The 21,602-nt window shown below is 35.5% G+C and overlaps 1 protein-coding gene across 9 annotated transcripts in view; it reads left to right on the top strand.

The window, feature by feature from the left end:
- BMPR1B (bone morphogenetic protein receptor type 1B) overlaps nt 1-21,602 on the top strand; it is a 400,496-nt gene that overhangs the window by 229,831 nt on the left and 149,063 nt on the right. For 5 of the 9 annotated variants that reach the window (XM_017008559.2, XM_047416093.1, NM_001203.3 and 2 more), the window contains one exon: nt 8,255-8,349. The exons of 1 other annotated variant lie outside the window; for it this stretch is intronic. The gene's annotated coding sequence lies outside the window, so the exon portion shown is untranslated. Of the gene's footprint in view, nt 1-8,054; nt 8,600-12,566; nt 12,796-21,602 lie in introns of those variants that run through there. 3 more of the 9 variants (XM_047416091.1, XM_017008560.2, NM_001256792.2) reach the window with 3 other exon arrangements.

Here is a 21,602-nt window from a genome sequence, read left to right on the forward strand (position 1 = left end):
AAAATTAATAGCATATTGTTAATTATGGGTATCTGTATGAATGAAAATATCCTTTAATGAGTCATTTCTAAAAAAGAAACATTGAGAATTCAGCTACACCTTTATAATGAAAGAAAACAGTTGTTTAAAATGTCAGATAATGATTTATCATCTGGATATTAGAATCATCCAGAGATTAATGGAATTAAATGTTCTTATCCAGTCTCTTGTCACATAGACCTAATCTAATTTCCATTTGGAGTAATTGTAGAAATTTTTGATTTAGTGAGGATTAATTCCTTACCTGTAAGAAATCTCTACTTACAGGTATATGATGATTTTAAGAACTGCAGCCTTTTTAAAAAGTAGAAAATGCTTGAAATTATATTGCGAATATTTATTATTTTAAATAACACTTTTGATATTGTCCTTCATGTCATATAAATATACATTTAGCTCTAGGAGAAAAAGAAATTGAAGTACTGATAATACAGCTGGAAACCCACCTATTATTATTAAACATGATGAGAAATCAGTGAAGTTTTAATTTTTAATATAGGTTCAATTAGCAACAACTATAACAAAAATAACTTGATATTCTGGATGCTTTTCATTCTTCATTATTACCTTATTTTATTAAACATAGTTGTTTTATTATTGGTTATGGTTATGTGTATTTTATGCACTATGAATTTAAGATCAATTTCTATTGATAAATGATAAAGTGCTTTAGTTTAGTTTGCCATTTGGTTTATGTGATGTCATATAAAAGTTTAAAAAGACCCATTCTTTGCTATGGTTTCCGGATTTAGTTTATTCCATGTTTACAACTTACATACAACATTATTTCAGTTGAAAAGAACAAATGACCTATTTATTAACTGAGCAGCCAATACTTCTCATACTAATAATGGGTATGTATTACAATAAAGTGGCAGCAGTAAGGTTGGTAGACTTATGTATGATTTTCCTGTGGGGTCCTGGGAGCCCAAATTATTTATTACTTGAGAACAAAGAACCTTAGAGTTAAAGGTAAGTGAGTCTGTATGTGATATGCCTAATGGTAGGTCCCTAAAGTATGAAAAAAGCCCCTTTTTTTTGGGAAAAGAAAAGGATAAAAACAGTTTGTAGTTTACTTCTAACGAGGCACATCCTAGAGTCAATTTTCTTTCTCCTCATTCATTTACACTGAGCGTCACCTGTTCCCTCAGGTGAAAAATGAGGACTAGCTTGGATTATTAATATTTTGCTTGTACCCATTTTCCCCTGAAGAATGTCTCATTACATAAATTTGTAGTATTCACAACTAAGTTTTTGTCAACAACATATTTTGAAATCATTCACGGCCGGGTGCGATGGCTCACGCCTATAATCCCAGCACTTTGGGAGGCTGAGGCTGGTGGATCACGAGGTGAAGAGATCGAGACCATCCTGGCCAACATTGTGAAACCCCGTCTCTACTAAAAATACAAAAATTAGCTGGGCATGGTGGTGCGTGCCTATAGTCCCAGCTCCTTGGGAGGCTGAGGCAAGAGACTCACTTGAATCCAGGCGGTGGAGGTTGCAGTGAGCTGAGATTGTGCTACTGCACTCCAGCCTGGTGACAGAGCGAGACTCCGTCTAAAAAAAAAAAAAAAAACAAAAAAAATCATTCACTACTTAGCTTCTTGATTTCTTAACACCCAATTTCAAGGAAGCATTAAATTAAAGCATTAATGTAACAGGATTACAATTTCAGTTACCTAACATTGATCTGATAGAGTATTTTATTATTACCAAGCTAAAAGTACCAATATAGGTATTTATCATAATCATGAACAGAGAATTAGCACATTTTCTTTGCAATTGAATTTTTTTCCCAAAGCTGCTTCTCCTTACTAAAAGTTCTATTGAAATTGTATGGGAATTCAAATTCATCTTAAAAGCTGAAACAATATACTAATAAATAAAATATTTCTTATTCCTTATTCATTTATTTATTAGTTTATTTATTCAGTTAACAAGTAAGTGGCTCTGTTTATGCCAGGTACAACTTTCTTGGGTCCTCAAAAACATATTTTAAGCTTTATTTGGTCATGGGGTTTTCTGAAATTATATTTACTAAAAGTCAAAAGTAAATAGCCAAATGGCTAATAAGCACATGAAAAGATGCTCAACATTATTTATCACTAGGAAAATGCAGATTAAAGTCACAGTGAAATTCTACTTTGGGAAACAGTTGGACAGTTCTTTATTCTGTTAAACATAAAATTAGCATATTAGCAGTTTTACTACTTGGTATTTACTCAAGAGTAACGAAAATATAAGTTGAGGCCGGGCATGGTGGCTCATGCCTATAATCCCAGCACTTTGGGAGGCCAAGGTGGGTGGATCACTAGGTCAGGAGTTTGAGACCAGCCTGGCCAATATGGTGAAACCTCATCTCTACTAAAAATGTGAAAATTAGCCAGGCGTAGTGGCAGGCGCCTGTATCCCAGCTACGTGGGAGGCTGAGGCAGGAGAATCGCTTGAACCTGGGAGGTGGAGGCTGCAGTGAGCCGAAATCATGCCACTGCACTCCAGCCTGGGCAACAGAATGAGACTCTGTCCGTCTCAAAAAAGAAAAAGAAAATATAAGTTGAAGCAAAAACTTGTTTATAGCAGCATTATTCATAATGGCCCAAAAGTGGAAACCAACCCAAATGTTCATTAGCTGATGAATGCATAAATAAAACCTGGCATACCCATACAATGAAATACTATTCAACAATAAAATGAATTATTGATTCCCAGTGATGCAGGTACTAACATTAAATCCATTTCTTTGATGAGGAAACTAAGTCACATATGTAACTTACAGTGTAACTGAAGAAAGAAGAAAACACAGGGCTGCTTGACTTCAGAGTACTCAACCTCTATGCTGGAATGAGGTTTTGTTGTTGTTGTTGTTGTTGTTGTTGTTTTTTATACTTTAAGTTTTAGGGTACATGTGCACAGCATGCAGGTTAGTTACATATGTATACATGTGCCATGTTGGTGTGCTGTACCCATCAACTCGTCATTTAACATTAGGTATTGTTTGTTGTTTTAAAGCATTACCCCATCCTTTTTCTTTTCTTCGTGGCCGAACTTTTTGAAAGAGTGACTTGATTCCTGTCTCACTTTCCTTGCTTACCTCCCACCTTCTATGAAAACAGCTCAGCTGCCAGTGCTTTTTCTTTTGTAATAACTGCTTTTTTGAAATAGAATTTATATACCATAAAATTTGTCCTTTTAAATTGTGCATTTCAGTGGTTTTTAGTATCACAGTACTTTCTGAATGTTGTATGTAATGGCCTTTTTCAGTCTCTTTCATATTTAATCTTTCCATGACATTCGACATTGTTGACCCCTCAGTCCTTGACTCTGTCCTCATTCAGCCCTTTTTCATTCTCCTTCTACTGACCTCATAATTGTTTTTCAGTCTTTATGCCCTTGTCTTCCTTGACCTACTTTGTAAATGTTGATTTTTGTTTACTTCTCATTGTACATGCTACTTCTGAGAGATCTCATGACCTTGGGAGCCACCTTTATTGGCGTGTTGCTCATAAATGTTTATTTTAGTAATTTATCTAACAAATATTTATTGTGCATTCATTATGTAGAAGGCTCAGTTTAGGGACTTGAAGTCTATGCTGTTATTGAACCTATATTCTATGGGGAAGACACAAGCAATAGCAAATAACAAGGAAGTCTGCAATTTTAAATAGTATGAGAGTGGTAGGCTTTGCTGAGAAGGTGCACTTTGAACAGGGACTTGAACGTGAACAGTTAGCCATGCAGCTCTCTGCAAGAACATATAGCAAATAGAAGGATACCAAGGGTAAACTGGTCAGGGACATTTAAGGAATGGTAGGAGGACAAGTGGGTTGGAGCTGAGAAACTGAGGGGGTCCCTAGTCCATGCTGTCAGAGACAAGATGAAAGAATAAAGTGGGGCTAGGCTATATGGACCATCAAAAGGACTTTAGCTTTTACTCTGAGTAAAATGGGGAAGCAGTACAGGGCTTTGATTAGAAGATGAAAGTAATCTGAGTGAGGTTTTTAAGTGACTTCTGTTACTTCTGTGCTGAGAATAGACTATATGGTGACAAGGTTCGAACCAGGAAACCAAGAATACAAAACTACTTACTGAATTGATGCAGTCTTCATCTCTCCAGGATTCTAGACTAGTATATTTAAACGCCCATTGAACATACTTCAGTACAACACAGATATCTAAAGTTCATCATGTCCCAAACTAAATCCATCTGCTCTTCCCAGCTCCATGTTCCAAAGTTGCCCTCTCCTCCCAAAACCTTGCCTTGGCAGAGACCCAGCCACTCAGAGAAGAGCCCCGCTTGACTCTTCATGTATTCCTTGCCCATCAGTCAAATTGAGGATTAAAAAAACCTTTAAGTTCTCTTTAGTAAGGTGTATCAGTTACTTTAATTTAATCCACTGCTTAATTTGTTAGTCCTATCTTTCTGCTACCCCTCAATACTCAATATTAAAATTCAAGCAGTTCCTTGAGAGAAATGCAGGATACAGCAAATCCGTCCTGAGTTTGTGAGTGCACTGTTTAATCCACTACCTTGCCTGGGCATGGGCCTATACATCTTCAGTGACTGCTATAAAGGCTTTATGTGGTACTGTAGTCCAGCCAGACAGATTTGGGCTGAATCTCAGTTCTAGAATTTATTAGTCACATGACTTCAGACAAGCCACTTAGTAACACTAAGCCTCATTTTCTTTATTTAAAAAAAGGTAAAAACATAACCATCTGCCAATGTTGTTTTTAGTGTTAGAGATAATATTTCCAAAGCCCCTTTTGGACAGTCCTTGATAAATAATACTTCTACTCCCTCTAGACCACATGCCTCAAGAAGACAGAGGAAGAGACTTTTTACATTAAGCCTCCCTCTTTGTGTTTTACAGTTCTGTGGGCTTTGTCAAATGCATAATATCATTCATCTGCAATTACAGCATCATACAGAGTAGTTTCACTGCCCTAAAAATCCCATGTTTCACTGTCATCTCCTTACAACCACCAATCTTTACACTGTCTATTGTGTTGCCTTTTCCAGAATGCCATATAGTTAGAATCATAAAGTATGTAATCTTTTTTTTTCCCCCTAAAGAGATGGGGTCTTGTTCTGCCATCCAGGCTGGAGTCCAGGGGCACAGTCAATAGCTCACTGTAGCCTCGAATCCCTGAGCTCAAGGGATCCTCTCACATCAGCTGGGACTACTGGTGTGTGCCACCACACCTGCCTAATTTAAGTTTTTTATTTAATTTTTTAAATTTTTTGTAGAGACAAGGTCTTGCTATGTTTCCCAGGCTGGTCTCGAACTTCTGGCCTCAAGAAATCCTTCTGCCTTGGCTTCCCAAAGTGCTGGGTTTACAGATGATGTGAGCCACTTGTGCCCAGCCCAGTATATAGCCTTTTCAGACTGGTTTCTTTCCCTTGGCAGTTGAATGGGTAGTTTTAATGGAATCAGTGTCTAGATTATCCACTTCTACATAAACTCTTTATTAATATTGATCTGGCTAAGAATAGTCCTTTATTCATAACACTCTTTCTCTTACCTTACAAGAGAAAAGCACACCCTTATCCATCCCAAATGTTATTATGGTGCATTATCCTGGAGTCATAGAAAATTTAACATTAAAAATTCAACTAATGCATTAAATTTGTATTGCAGTATGACAGGGTGGCCGGGTGCAGTGGCTCACGCTTGTAATCCCAGCACTTTGGGAGGCCGAGGTGAGCAGATTACCTAAAGTCAGGAGTTTGAGACCAGCCTGGCCAACATGGCAAAACACCCATCTCTACTAAAAATACAAAAATTAGTCAGGTATGGTGGCACATGCCTGTTGTCCTAGCTACTTGGGAGGCCTAGGTAGGAGAATTGCCTGAATCCAGGAGGTGGAGGTCATAGTGAGCCAAGTTAGTGTCACTGCGCTCCAGCCTGGGCAACAGAGCAAGACTCCATCTCAAAAAAAAAAAAAAAAAAAAAAAAGTATGACAGGGTGAACAACTGAGGACTTAATTATTAAAATATGTAAAAATTCTGTGAGGCAGCGAGATGGAAATAAAGGTCAAGAAAATAAATAGCAATGTAAATTTCAGCTGCCAAAATAAGTATCTCTGTGTGTTACTTAAATACATAGTGATTATATTAAATTATTGTAGATTTAGATGCTATTGAGTATATTTAAAATAGCTGATGTGTTTTGTTTTAAAATGTCAATATTTCCAATAGGGTAGAAATTAAATTCTTTGCAAGTACATATTTTACCACAGGTGAAAATTTGTATATGTCAATTTGGTAATGTGTAAATGGTTACATAATTTTTCAAAATTCTTTTAAGAGTCTGTGAATAAAGGCAGTTAAAACCTGGTAGGCTATCCTACTCTATAAAACCCAAGTTTGTCAACCTGGCTTATAAAATCCTTCATCACCTTATTCCTTCTAGTTGGTTTTGTTTTGTTTTTAACTACTTTCTGTCTTACACTCTAAGCTCCAGCAAGAAAGATCTATTTGAAGTTCTAAGTATGTGTTGTGCTCTTTCCTGCCTTTGTCTTGATTGTGTTATTCTTCCCTTTGCCTCACTACCTTCTGCCCATTCTTTAGGATCCAGAAGTCTGGAGTGAGGAATTACCTCTTGGCTCAGATGCTCATTTTCCCTTCTCCCATGGTTTCCTCCTCTAGTCTTCTTGCTACGTTGTTTTACATTTAACTTCTATTTTGTTTTTCTGGAATTAGACCTGGAAGGTCTTTAAGAGTAGGAACTATGTTTTATCTTTGCCTGTTCAGCACCTATATACCTGTGTCGACAATAAGTTAATTCATTAGATGAATATTAATTTTTGCATTAAGCAAGGAGAGGTGGATTTCAAATAGTTTGAAAGTTAATTCTTATGTGTAACTTTTTTTTTTTTTGGTCAGTTACACTGTAGAAAGTTATTTTTCTTCTATGCTGGTTATTTTTCTGGCTGTAATATTTGCATTTACTGGTAAGATTTTAGTAAGCTTTCATATGAAGATGAGCCTAAAGATGATTTTGAGAACCACCATTCTAACAGAAGGAACACATTACTGTAAGTAATCAGGCAAGGTTTCTAGTTTTGGCTCTGTCACAAAGTTGCCATGTGACCCTGGGCAAAGTAACCAGCCTGGGGGTTGATTTTCTTATCTGTAAGATGAGTAAGTGACCAGAGTCTCCCAAAAGTTTCCTTTACCTTTGATTTAATCAAGAGAAAATTTTAGTAAAGCAAACAAATGATTATCTTTGACAAGAAGTAAAAAATATGGGCTGATTTATTTTCTACTCATTTATACTGTGGACCTTATAGGTGGTATATGGAGATACTATGTATCTTGTTTATGTCACCTGCAAACCATGTACTGTAGTGTCATGGCTTGGAATCTATCCTTAATCTAAAAATTAAATTTTTAAGTTGTTATAAATATAGAAGTTTATATTTAAACTGTAAATATTGTGTTGAGTTATAATTTTAGGTTATATTTTAGCATCTTTCACTAAATATATGATGTATCTGATTAATGTTATACTTTCCTATACATTTCTGTCATTCTCTAAATGAACTTACGTTGACATATTTTTTTGTGACCAATTACTTAGTCACTGCAGCCTTTCTCATTGAGAAGCAATATTAAAAAAATTACAAAACTGCTTTCCTGTGTCATTTGGATTCATAATGTGTCATAATTAAGTTTTATAAAGCTTGATTGACTGACATTTAGATATGACTTTTATAAAGGGTTTGAGATTGTGTTGTTTGGCCGAAACAAAGGCAGTATTTCCTTTCTTGTCTTTGACTCCACCTAGCCCCACTTTTCTCCACCTACCTGAGGAAAGCTGTATTTCTTCAGACAAACTTAATAATTGCCCTTCTGTGCCTGATTTGGGCCTCAGGAAAGGCCCATAGCATCTGTAAAGCTGGCAGCAGAATGGTATTTCCAGGCAAGCACAGGGTTGCTGGGTAGTGAGCCAATCCACAGCTTTGTCTGAGCAGCTGAGAACTTTGCCGGAGTATTACCACGGTGTTCAGTAACACAGACCTGTGCCATGAGCAAGTAAAGCACTGAGCAAGTGTCAGGGTCAATATTTATAGACCACTACGTAGCTGCCTTGCATAGAGAGAAAACGGGAGAGTAACATGCACACAGAGGGCAAGGAAAGAAAGACTGCAGTGGAGGGAATGTTAATTTCCAATTTTTTCTGAAAATGTATTCTTTCTAACTGTCAGGTTCAGACTTCTGCTGATTCATAACCATTTGGCTCTGAGCTATGACAAGAGAGGAAACAAAAAGTTAAACAAGCAAGCCTGCCATAAGTGAGAAGGTAAGTAATTAGCCAGTTCAGTCTCGCTGTTACTCGTAAACTCTCTCCCTGTTGGCTGCACTGCATCAGTAAGCAAAGGGCTGTGTGGCATGTCAAAGCTAATGAGGAGGGCTGCCTGCTGGGTAAGAATGTTGTTGGTGGCAGAGCCGTTTTGTGTACTGCTGTTGAGAATGCCGGGTACATTCACAAGACGTTTCCTGCGTGTGGTAGGAACAGCTCTCAAGCACCAATTTCATATTGTGTCCTATCAGTAAGTTTCTGTCTCTTCATTCTGTCAAACTCGAGGTCTTCCAGTTGGTAAAGTCCTATTTACTTTTATGTCGGTATTAAAACATTAGTGTCAGTTAAGTTTATCGTAGTGAGTGGTCTAGACATGGATTATAAGGGAAACATTCAGATGAACGTATGAAGGTGCAGTAGTCAGTGTCAAAATGTGGAAGCTGGGAATTGGGGTAACATGGGGTCTTTTTATAAAAGAAGCCAACCTCCATTTGCCAGTGCACTGAAGTGAAATAGTACCTTTGGGATTAGAGAGAACCTGGGGTGGTGAGAAGTGAGAACAGTCTTCCTAATCCACGGTGCCAAAGGCAAGCACTGAGGAGAAGTTCTCTGCTTGTCCAGGTCACTTGCTATTGGATTCTTAAAAACTGCGACTCCCTACTCAATCTCAAACTAAAATTAACATCTCCTCCTATGCATTAATAGTTCTTTTTCTCCTGTCATCACAGGTAGCACTTTAAATATGTTTCTGTGTATGTTCACGGTGCTGTAGCATGTTCATCTTCATTATGGTTTTTCATATTCTGGATTATCATTAAAAGCATTGGCACTGAAGGAGACAGAAAGAATTGTTTTCTATGTATTTTCTGGTTCTAGCTCATGAAATATATATACTTGTATGTTTATATGTACTACACATGGACTAGAAAGTCAATTATGTTGTTTCACTAGAACTGTGGCCTTAACTAGAGGAGAGTTATCTACTGACATAATGAAAATTTCCTTGATTGCTTTTCAGAATGTAGAACTATCAGCATTAGCATGATATTTAGAACTGTTAAGTTAGGTTATAGATGGTGATTATAGGTCCAAAGGGTTTTCTGTACTACATATTTAAGTTAAAAACAAAAATGAGATTGATGCTGCTGTAGAGCTGAAACTGGACACCATTAGAGATATGAGGAAAAGCTAATACTCTGGCACAGATTTTGTGTTAGGGCTGAAATACAGAAATCAGCCCATTCTAAAATAGGATAAGCCAGATCTAAAACAACAGGTAGAATATGTTTAAATGTAAAGTAAGAATTTTAAAATGAGACCAATAGCTGTGCAGTATCACTTTTGTTGAATGCGTATATAACTTTTCAAATGATGCAAAATGTTTCAAAATTAATTTTATTACTTCAGAAATACCTTAAGGCTAATCTAATTGATAGCTTAAACTGTATTTTAACATTCATTTAATGCTTGTTTTATCATGTGAATCTTTGTACTTCTTCCAATTCTGCCTACCATTTCCATTTTATTAGTGGGTTTGATTTAGATTTTTGACAATATCTTTATTTTGAAAATACAACCATGATTGATCTAGAATGGGCATTTCCCAGTTATAGAATCTAACTGGCTAAGTTCATCAATCAATTTTTATTTGCTTTTGCCTTTGAGTAATATCTCATGATCAAGATTGTAATTTCAGATTTTTATTCAGTATCTTTTATTTTTTGCTTTATATTTTGCATAAATACTAGCATGATAATTGCTTTCTTACCCCTTTTTATTGGTTTTGTTTTTATTCCTTCTGGTGTCTTGTTTCTGAAGTACCTTGTTGAAATTTGGGCAGAAAACAAGGCAAGCAAATAAAGAACTACAATAAGAAGAAACTAAAGAAAGTTTTCCTTTAAATCAAGAAGAAATACAAAATTGTGACACTGGTTGATAATGTCTACATTAGGATGTATTTTGTTTGAAGACTGGTTGAGTGTTTTAAAACTTGAAATGCCTTGTCAGTATTATTTTTGGCTCTGTAGTCCATCCTGACATTGGTTATCATATTTATAAATAATATTTTATATGCAGGTATATTATACAAAATGAAAATGGCACCTTTTGTATTATGTGTTAAGTATCTATTGAAGCAATGTGAATGAATTTAGCTTGAAATATTAATATTAGCCTCCTCATGGATCTCACTGCCCTAGAGTCATATTTGTTCTACTAGTAGTCCAGCTGCTACACTACTCCTTTTTTTTTTTTTTTGAGATGGAATTTCAATCTTGTTGCCCAGGCTGGAGTGCAATGGCGCGATCTTAGCTCACTGCAACCTCCGTCTCCTGGGTTCAAGCGATTCTCCTGCCTTAGCCTCCCGAGTAGCTGGAATTACAGACATGCGCCACCATTCCCAGCTAATTTTGTATTTTTAGTAAATATAGGGTTTCTCCATGTTAGTCAGGCTGGTCTCAAACTCCTGAGCTCAGGTGATCTGCCTGTCTCGGCCTCCCAAAGTGCTGGGATTACAGGTGTGAGCCACCACGCCCAGCCTGCTGCATTACTTTTAGAAGGGTCAATCTTCCACCCTGATGAACCCATTGCTTTTAATCTAAAACCCTCCCATCCCTGTCTTTCTACTGCTTATAGATAAAGACCAGGCTTTACTATGAGTCTCTTGTTCATATACCTTCTACTTTTGTTCTATATTAATCTTCTGCCGTTCCTTTTGGGCTGTTGTCTGTATCTCTCTTGCCCATCCATGAGAATATTCCCCTTTCTCTCCATTTTATTTGCTGGCAGTATTCAACATCTCCTATTTCTCAAAACAATCCACATTGCATTGCTTTTTTCTTGTATCATTTATGCTGTTCTATCTTGAAAACCCTTTTCCCAATCTTTGCCTTCTAGCCTGAATGGAGAAAGTCCTGCTGGTCTAATCTCAGACTCTGTGACTTGGCCTCCTGTATAAATCTCTGTCCCAGTACTTTGCAAAGCTTGGTAATATAGTGTTTTATGTTTTTGTTTCTGCCTGAGACTGTAATCTATTTATGGCCAGATTTTTAAATTTAATTCTTTTATGCTTCCCCAAGACCTAGCATATAACAAGTGTCCCAGAATTTGAAGTAAACAAAAACTTTATCATACTTATTTTAAACATAATTTTCTTTATACCCCTTTCACTTTAAAATATTTTACAATTTTGATTCATTAGATTGAAGGAAAGCCTCTCAAGTAGATGGTACATATTGGTAATAATAATTAAAAAATTATTTTGTTTCTTTTTCTAGGACCAATCAGTGTTGTGCGTGTGTGTGTGTGTGTGTGTGTGTAACCATGAAAATAGATATTTGCTGAACTCATAAGTTTATTTGGGTAACAAGAGTCAAAATGATATTGGTTAGCAAATAAAAATTCAGGATACATATTCCAAAAATGCTGTTTATGTAATTAATTTGGTGAAGTCTGTCAAAAAAACCAGCTAGTTGCTGTGGCCGTGTTGACTGCTGTGGTAAATTAAGTGATGCCCTAGCAAACTAAAGACAGTGTCATGCCTTCCAAAAGGCCCAGAGAGAGCTTCAGGAGAGAATAGGTCCATCCTCATGTAGCCGGGAGAATTGCAGAATGAAATTGCTCCCAGTATTACTAGTAAACCTTCAAATTTCATTTACTGGGGCAGAGATAGTTCGGGTTTTAAGGAAATAATAGAAAATCATGGTCTGAAAATTCTCAAACCTGAAAGGTGATATTCCATTTCAGGCAGAAGAAGAAGTTGCTCCTCAAAATAGAAATGTTGAAAGAGAAGGAAGTTGACGTTTAAAAAAAGTAGTTGTGAAATAGCAGCTGTTTCTTTTAGCTCTGATATTCAATAAAAATAAAATTTATTTTGCCTTTAATTGTATTTTATTTGCCCATCATACATAAAAGTACTTACATTATATATGAAATATTGTATATATCAGGAACAAGTGTAAAGCTTCATGAACAATTTGGAGTGACTTATAGTTTTCTTAATTTAATTATTTTTACTTTAGTGTGCTCTACCAGCAGTTTCCACTACTATTTAAACCTTATAAACATCTTCCAGACATTGAATATGACTCTTCTGTTTGTTTAACCTTGAATTGTATCTCTGTCTTAGGAATGAAAACAAGATTGGTATTTTCATAGGAAAATTTGGTAATCTTAATTGCTTGGAATGGACTGTAATTCAATTTGGAACTTTTTTTCAGATATAGTTTGCCCATATAACTATCCTGTGTTAAAAAATATGTGGAGTGGGGAGGCTGAGCAGGAGAATTGCTTGAATCCAGGAGGCGGAGTTTGCAGTGAGCCAAGATCACCCCACTGCACTCCAGCCTGGCGACAGAGCAAGACTCCATATCGAAAGAAAGAAAGAAAGAGAGAGAGAGAAAGAGAGAAAGAAAGAAGTGGAGAAAGTGCCTTAGCAAAGAGTTTTAGGTATGGATTTTATAGATCTCAGTGGCGTATCAAATAATATAAATATTATATGATTGGGATGGTGGAAGTTTCTTTGGTATGGACGTAGAAATATACCAAGTTCCTGTTAGCCAGTGAGGAGGGAAACCCAAGCTTGCCTTAGTATGGAAAGATTATAACAACAACAAACATAAGCAAAAACACTACCAGCAGCACCAAGAAAAGCTCAAAGAACTTTGTGGTTGGAATGAGGCATAAAGGATTTTACCAGAACAATCAAGTCTTATTTTATTATTGTTAGAAGTTTTTTGCCAACCAAAATTTTTCTGTAACAGTGAAGGGCATATAATTCATAGAGCCTGAGAGGAGAAGAGTAAATTAATTATGGAAGTGGGACTTGAAAGCTTTTCTTCAGTACTTCCATTTTATCAATGGGCAGTTGTGGCATCCATAGGTAACATAACCCGCCAAACATCAGCTTTTCAAGTAGCTAGTTAAGATTTGGATAAAAATTAGTATTAGGTAATTATAAGGCCAGTATTTTTTTTTATACTTTAAGCTCTAGGGTACATGTGCACAATCTGCAGGTTTGTTACATATGTATACATGTGCTATGTTGGTGTGCTGCACCCATTAACTCATCATTTACATAAGGCCAGTATTTTATTAATGCAGCTTTTCTTGTCTGAGTGTAATTGCTCTGTTTTTGTTCTTCATACTACATTTAATTTTTTGTGTCTCTGTGTCTTGTCTTGTATTAGACTCCTTTGCATTATTTCTTAATTCCTGGAAGAATTAAGATGGTATTTCTTAATACCATCAAGTGAGATGGAGTACTCTCCCACTTCAAGTAATTTTTGTTTCTAATGACAGATACCCTTTCTGGCTCTCCTGAATTGCCCTATTCTGTCTCATGGTACAATCACATTCTGCCACACAAACATTCATTCAATAGAACATGGCACATAGTCCTGGAGCAAAAGATAGAAGCTAAAAAACAAGTTTCATGCTTAGATTATGTCTAAGATTAGAATATAGAATATCTGTATTTCAGTAGGATATATATGGCTACATTTTGTTTTATAATTTTGTTTAAAGATGATTATTTGTTCTAATTTACACCTAGAAAAACATTGTTTAAAACAAAAATGAAAGAATCCAATTGGCTTTTCCATGTTATATTTGCTTTCATCTGGGATTCTTTTAAAAATTTAAATAATCGAAGACGTAGAGGGGGGCAAAACAAGTTTGTTTTGTACCTGTTATATTCTAGTAAGTTTTTGCTTCTCTATTTCTATTCCCACCACTCCCAAAGAAGTTGGGGCTCTTTGGCTCCATCCATTCTTATTAATATTAAGGTCTCTGGTAAAATTTGCTTGTATACTTAGATGAAAGAGGTTTTTATTGTTGTTGTTGTTTTATAATTTCAACTTCTCTTTTAAATTCAGTGAGTACAGGTACAGGTTTGTTACATAGGTATATTGCATGATGCTGAGGTTTGGAATACAAATGATCCCATCATCCAAGTAGTGAGCATACTACCCACTAGGTAGTTTTTCTCTCTTCCTACCTTCCCTCCCTCCACCTCTGGTAGTCTCCAGTTTCTGTTGTTGCCATCTGGATGTCCATGAGTTGCCAATGTTTAGCTGCTACTTAATAAGTGAGAATACACAGTATTTGGTTTTGTGTTCCTATATTAATTCACTTAGGATAATGGCTTCCAGCTGCATCTAAGTTGCTGCAAACGATGATTTCATTCTTTTTTATGGCAGTGTAGTACCATGGTGCATATGTACCACATTTTCTTTATCCATCCACTGTTGATTGTCACCTAGGTCGACCCCATGTCTTTGCTATTGTGAATAGTGCTGTGATGAACATATGAGTGCATGTGTCTTTTGGGTTAGAGCTATTTCTTTTAGATCTATGCCCAGCAATGGGATTCACTGGGTCGAATGGTAGTTCTGTTTTACATTCTTTGAGAAATCTCCAAACTGCTTCCACAGTAGCTGAACTAATTTACATTCCTACTAACAGTGTATAAGCAATGAAAGAATTTTTGAACATATAGCAGCCTCAGCCTGTGATTTCTGTACCTTCCTGTTTCCTCCTCCCTCATATCAGAATCAAAGTGATCTTCATGGTTCTCCATCAATAAAAAAGCCTGGTTATCCCTTTGTGATAATTTTCGATTGGATTAATACCTTTCACTTTAAATAAGTATTACCCACTTTTTAAATGTCTTGCCTGCAAAGAAATGTATAATTTTTACATCTTTGCTAATATGATAGAGGAAAGTGATATTTAATTTACTTATTTTTAATTACTAGTGAATTTGAGTTATTACCTTTTCTGTTATTTATAATTTATTTATATACTTATTCTTTTTTTTCCAGCAGCTCTATTCTCTTTTCTGGTTTAGAATGTTCCTTTATTTAAAAAAAAATTAAAGGATCTTGATTTTTTAAATATCTATTAGTTGCAACTGCTTTCCTAAGATTTTGGTTACTTTTTAATTTTGTTTTATGTGTTTTGAAACATAAGTATGTTTTGAAATATTTTTATTAAAGCTAACCAATATTTTCTCAATATCTTTTGAAACTTAGAAAGTCTTTTTAAAACCTAGAAATGGGAAAAAATATTTTTCTGTATTTTTATGTCTTAATTTAACTGTTAATACTATAGTCCACAAGGATTTTTCTGACCAATACTTCAGCACTTTTACTGAATCGTTCTCCCCCTTTCTCACTTTTTTTGTGAACTCATTTTTATCTTGTATTCTTGTGCCACAAATTTAAATCTTTAGGTTACCTTTCAGGTTGTTTTGCATTAACATTTTTATCTCTGTGGAATAAAGTTGATGTTTCTTGTTTAATGAGATTTAAGCATTGGAACATGTTAGGGTGGTGGTGTTGGATTTAACTTGGCGTGATTCTAGAAATTACTGTAGACAAGAGGCTGTGTATGTTACTTATGTTAAGCCAGACCAAATAATATAATCTGTGTGATTGAGAAATGATGCATGAATAACCACCTCCATTTACAAGGGGTGCCTGTATGTGTGTATATATGTATATGTATATTTTATTAATCCTTCTAATAGACCATTGGATGACTTATTTCTATTTCCTCTTTTCATGATAAAGAAACTGAGACCCCAAAATGTAAAGTAACATGATAACCTCACATAGCTAATCAGTGATAAGGTCATGATTTAAACTTGGATATGACCAAAGTCCATCTTTTTTTTTTTTTTTTTTTTTTTTGAGATGGAGTCTTGCTCTGTCGCCCAGGCTGGAGTGCAGTGGCACAATCTCAGCTCAATACAACCTCCTTCTCCCAAGTTCAAGCGATTCTTCTGCTTCAGCCTCATGAGTAGCTGGGACTACAGGTGTGTGCCACCATGCCCAGCTGATTTTTGTATTTTTAGTAGAGATAGGGTTTCACTATGTTGGCCAGGCTGATCTCAAACTCAATATTTATATACTAATTGGTTACCTGGAATGATTTAAGAGGGTAGTTTAATCTGCTCTGAAGAGATACACTTCATAAACATAGTTTGTGTTTGTGTACGTGTGGGGGAGTTCACATGTGAAAGTTTATAAAAAGACATCATTTGAAATTTTAATTTTTGTTATGCATTTGCCCACCATGAAATATTTTGTTCTGTTTTCCTCTTTAACTCAAGGCAAACAATTTTGCTTCAGTATAATATAGGACTTTTTCCTCCTTGAATCACTCTGCCCTTTGTTGATACATTGGTATGTCTTTGGTAACAATTCTGCTGTACTTCATTTTGTTTTATAGCCCTGCCCTAGAACATTTAAAATTAAATTACACCTTATAGTTGATAAGCAGGTTGTTCTTCTATTATTTGTAATATTATGCATCAGTATTTGTATTGTCTTAAAAGTCTTAAATAGTTTATTTATATTCCTCATTTTCCAGTCATATTTATTTTCCTGCTTTAGTGTAAAGGTGATTATTACTGCACATTATATGGTTGAAACATAATTCAGTTATGGTTTTATATATTCCTCAGGTGAATATTTGCTTTTTCTCCATGTAAAATACATTTTTCTTAAGAGCTCTGTCTTTCTACTTCTCTCTATACCAATTTTAACTTCATCAGTAAATTAATGTATCATTATTCCCAGTAGTAGTTTAGCTTACTAACCTTGAAATTTATATCTGTGTTTATTGTAAGAGGCTTTTTGGCAAATTGATCTTGACAATAATAGAGAAAGAAAGCATGGTGACCTAGGACACAACGTTCTACTGAAATAATTCGCAGTTCTTTGAATGTGTAGAGTTTTTTTGTTGTTGTTTATTTGTTTTAAATAAGCCAAGATACAATGCATATAGTCTTCTGAGTTATTCATTAATACCTCACATGTAATTATTTTAAATTATTATTGGTAGAAACAGACAATTTAGAATGCTTTTTTTTCTTTAGCCATTGCAATATAAAGTTGATTGGTACAGCTTGCAAAGCACAATGTGAGTTTAAAATATGTCTCCTGAAACCATGTGTTCTTAACTTGGGGAGCTGGTTTTGTGGTCAGTTTGAAGCTGTTCCCATAGTGTATGTTCCTTCTAGTTAAAAGGAAATGTGATATTTGTGCTAACATGATTTCATTGTTAATAGTCCAAACTAGTACTATAAATTGTAGAGGTAGAGAATCAATTTTAAAATTTTGGTTATATTTTAATAAAATATTTTTTGTGACACATAAGTTTCTGTTTATTAGCTGTGTATTGCCAGTGGTATTAATTGATGGTATTAGAGCATACCTGAGATCAAATACTGGTTTAGAAATACCATAAGGCATGTAGAACACACAGATGGCCAATTGTACATTGGCGTCCTGTAAGGCCACTCATTTCTTACATTTAGGGCAGTTCAACAAACAGGCTGACGTACTATGATCTTTCAGACAGCCCACCCACCCAGCCAGGAGCCATACATGTTATCACTCCCCTCTGTGTTTCCCTCCTCCCCTCCCACTTCCCTTCCTGGTTACACTCTTCCTTTCTTGATCCGTCTTCTTCCCGGCTCCTTCCTTTCTTTCCTAGTTTTTCTTTCACTTTTTTATCTTGTTCATAAATGTCAGTTGCATCTCAGCAAGTTTCTGTTATACCAAGTTGTTAACTGATTTTTTTTTTAAATTTCAACTTTTCCTTATCTTCTGTCTTCTGTCTATTGCCCAATTATGTTAGAAAACTCTTTTTGTGTGTGTGCATTTTGAAGAAAATCTTTCCAGTTGTAACAGAAACAGTAAATGCCTGGAAGCAAGAAAAACATGTGTTATAAAATGTAAAACTGCAATTAGCATCTTTCACAATTTCCCTAAAGTCATTTACCCTCTCATTTTATAATTAATGGTAACGTCAACATGTCACGGATATTTGTATATATGATAATAGTTTCCGCTGGGCACAGTGGCTCAAGCCTCTAATCTCAGCACTTTGGGAGGCTGAGGCAGGCGGATCACGAAGTCAGGAGTTCGAGACCAGCCTGGCCAACATGGTGAAACCTCGTCTCTACTAAAAATACAAAAACTATCTGGGCGTGGTGGTAGGCGCCTGTAATCCCAGCTACTGGGGAGGCTGAGGCGGGAGTATCCTTTGAACCCAGGAGGAGGAGGTTGCAGTGAGCTGAGATTGCACCATTGCACCAAAGTTTTAATAGTCAGAAGGTAGGGCCGGGCGCGATGGCTCACACCTGTAATCCTAGCATTTTGGGAGGCTGAGGCGGGTGGATCATGAGATCAGGAGTACGAGACCAGCCTGGGCAACAGGGCGAGACTCCATCTCAAAAAAAAAAAAAAGTTTTATTTAATCCTTATAATAATTCTATGTGATGGCTATTATTATCCCTATTTTAAAGGTAAGGAAATGGAAGTTCAGGAAGGTTAAATGACAATACTTACGATTATGTAGGTTGGAAAGAAAGGGAGATAAGAAATCAAATACCTTCTGATTTTTTTTTTTTTTTTTGAGATGGAGTCTTGCCCTGTCCCCCAGGCTGGAGTGCAATGGTGCGATCTTGGCTCACTGCAACCTCTGTCTTCCAGGTTCAAGAGATTCTCCTGCCTCAGCCTCCCCAGTAGCTGGGATTACAGGCGCACCACCACACCTGGCTAATTTTTTGTATCTTTAGTAGAGATTGGGTTTCACCATGTTGGCCAGGCTGGTCTCATACTCCTGACTTCGTGATCCACCCGCCTCGGCCTCCCAAAGTGCTAGCATTACAGGCATGAGCCACCACGCCCAGCCCTACCTTCTGATTCTTAAAACTTTACAGTATAATATATGACTCTCTTTTAAAATAAGTAATTTTACTTTCCTACTCCTATACATGTCTAAAAGTTTGAGAAGTAGTGCAGCAATTCATAAGGCTTTCACATTTACCAGGTGTCCAAATCAGAGAGCAGCAACTCTATTCCTACAAGGAAGACAAGAGTCTGTTGATATTTACGAACATTAATACATTAATTAATTTTAATATATTATTCTCATGTTATTTTATATTTTTCTCACTTTTGTAACTCTACCAGGGTTTCTTTATACAACAACAGCAACAATACTTATGAAAACATGTTCTTCCAAATAAATCCATGCTATACTCTGGAATGTTTTTTGAGGCAGGTCAGATTTTCAAGCTTTCTAATTTCAGTTAACCTCTAATAGACTTTTTCATTAGTAATATCACACTATGATGGCATGAATTTTTAGAACACATCATTATAAAAATAGATGTTTTAAGTTATTTGTATATAGTTATTCTGTTAGCTTTTTACCTTTGCCTTGCTCTGCTTTTCAGGAACTCTGTTAGGAATTATATGAGACAGAAAATAATATTCAAAACAAATTCTATTTTTAATCTAGTTAGAAGAACCTTTTTTCAAGATTTGGCATAGGAGAAATAAAAGCTATGGAAAAAATAACCTTTAGAAATTATCTGTTGACTTTTTCATGACTGTTCTAGCCCCATTATTTGTAAGATATAATTTAAGGTTCTTATAAATTATAACTCCTGTTGTAAAATGTTTTGCATTTTAAAAGGATTTTAAGACCTATTGCTTCTTTTCACCTTGCTCCTTCAAATGCTTTGAAACAAGAATATGCATTTTATACACAGAAAAATCAAGATGAAGTTAAGGGTGGGTGCAGATCCCAGAGTGAAAAGCTAAGTGTTTTGGCCTTGCCAGAATAGTTCTAAAGCTTGGTTATCTTAATTGCAATATATGAAAATATAAAGAAATAAATACCTAATGTGTTAACCCATACCAAAGTCTATAGAAATAATCAGTGGTAGGTACAAGTCATTTAAGAAAAAAGTTATGAGAGTGTTATTTAATATTAAGAAAATTTTATAAATTTAATTTAGTTGTTTTTGAAAACTGAGAAAAGAATTTAATATGATTATAGTGGCAGAACACCTGTATTGAGCTTGTGCAACTATGTGGGAGTTTAGTTTGAGAGCCACTGAATTATCACATAAAAATTATTAATCAGTATATAGGGTGGCAGTAATATTTTCCTGACTATTTTAATAAGCTGTGTTGGTATGTCAGTAAAGAGTTTATAAGGAATACAGGCCAGCTTAAGTAAACTATTGAATATCTGTCTCATACTGTACGGGGAAAAGTGATGACAGCGTGACTATGTAGAGTTATATAAACTATGTAAAAAGTCATAAAAATGTGAGTGGAGTGAATTTGTCACCTCGATTTTCTTTTCCCTTAACCACTCTACTTTCCTTCTCTCTCCATCTGTAATGCTATGCAGTAACTTCAGTTTTATGCTTCCATCCATGGCAGATATCATCAAGCAATCTAACACTTATTCTTGTTGAGGTTCCAGTAAGCCTTGAGTCCAAGCTGCCACTACTACAGGGGGTTATCCACATGGAAAGTGCAGATTGTTACTACTCACCTCATTCCGTAAGCAGAAGCAAATTCTGTATAGATGAAGGACTTAACTATGACAGCCAATACTTTAAAATATTTAGAAAATAAATATTTTTATTATCAGCTAAGAATTTCTTTACCAAGACCAGAAATAGAGCAAATAATAAAGAAACAAATTAATTAATTCAGCAACATTAAAATGAAAAATCAAAACTGTGTTCATCAAAGGACACTAAAAAAGAATAAGAAAGACCCAAAATTGGTTTAGTATATAGAATTTATTAAAGATACCATGAATCAGTAAGAAAAGTAAATTTGGTAAATATAAAAATAGGAATTTCAAAAAGAGAAAATCCAAATAGTCAATAAACATATGAAACATGCTGAACCTCATTAATAATTAAAGAACAAAATTAAAACTAGAGTGATGAGGGTTGGGCACAGTGTCTCATGCTTATAATCCCAGTGCTTTGGAAGGCTGAGACAGAAGGATCCCTTGAGCCCCGGAGTTGATGATTGCAGTGAACTGTGATCACTCCACTGCACTGTAGCCTAATTGACAGAATGAGACTCTCTGTCTCTCTTAGAAAAAAAAAGAGTGATGTATCATTTCATTTCATACCTACCATGTTGGTAAAAATATAAAAGTCTGAAAATAACAAATCTTGGTGTGGATGTGAAGCAACACGAACTCTCATTCACTGCTAATGGCGATGCAAATTGGTACAGCTGTATTGATAAATTGAAACCGAACATAAACATATTTTTCCGCAGCAATTCTACCCCTAGGTATATATCCTATAGAAATTTTTGCTTGTATGCCTCAGGAAATAGGTATGCAATTTTTTAATAGTAGTAGTATACATAGTAGGGAAACAAACAAATGAAAGAAATCTGGAAACAACCCAAAAG

This window comes from Homo sapiens, chromosome 4, assembly GCF_000001405.40.
Source record: "Homo sapiens chromosome 4, GRCh38.p14 Primary Assembly".
NCBI lineage: Eukaryota > Metazoa > Chordata > Mammalia > Primates > Hominidae > Homo > Homo sapiens.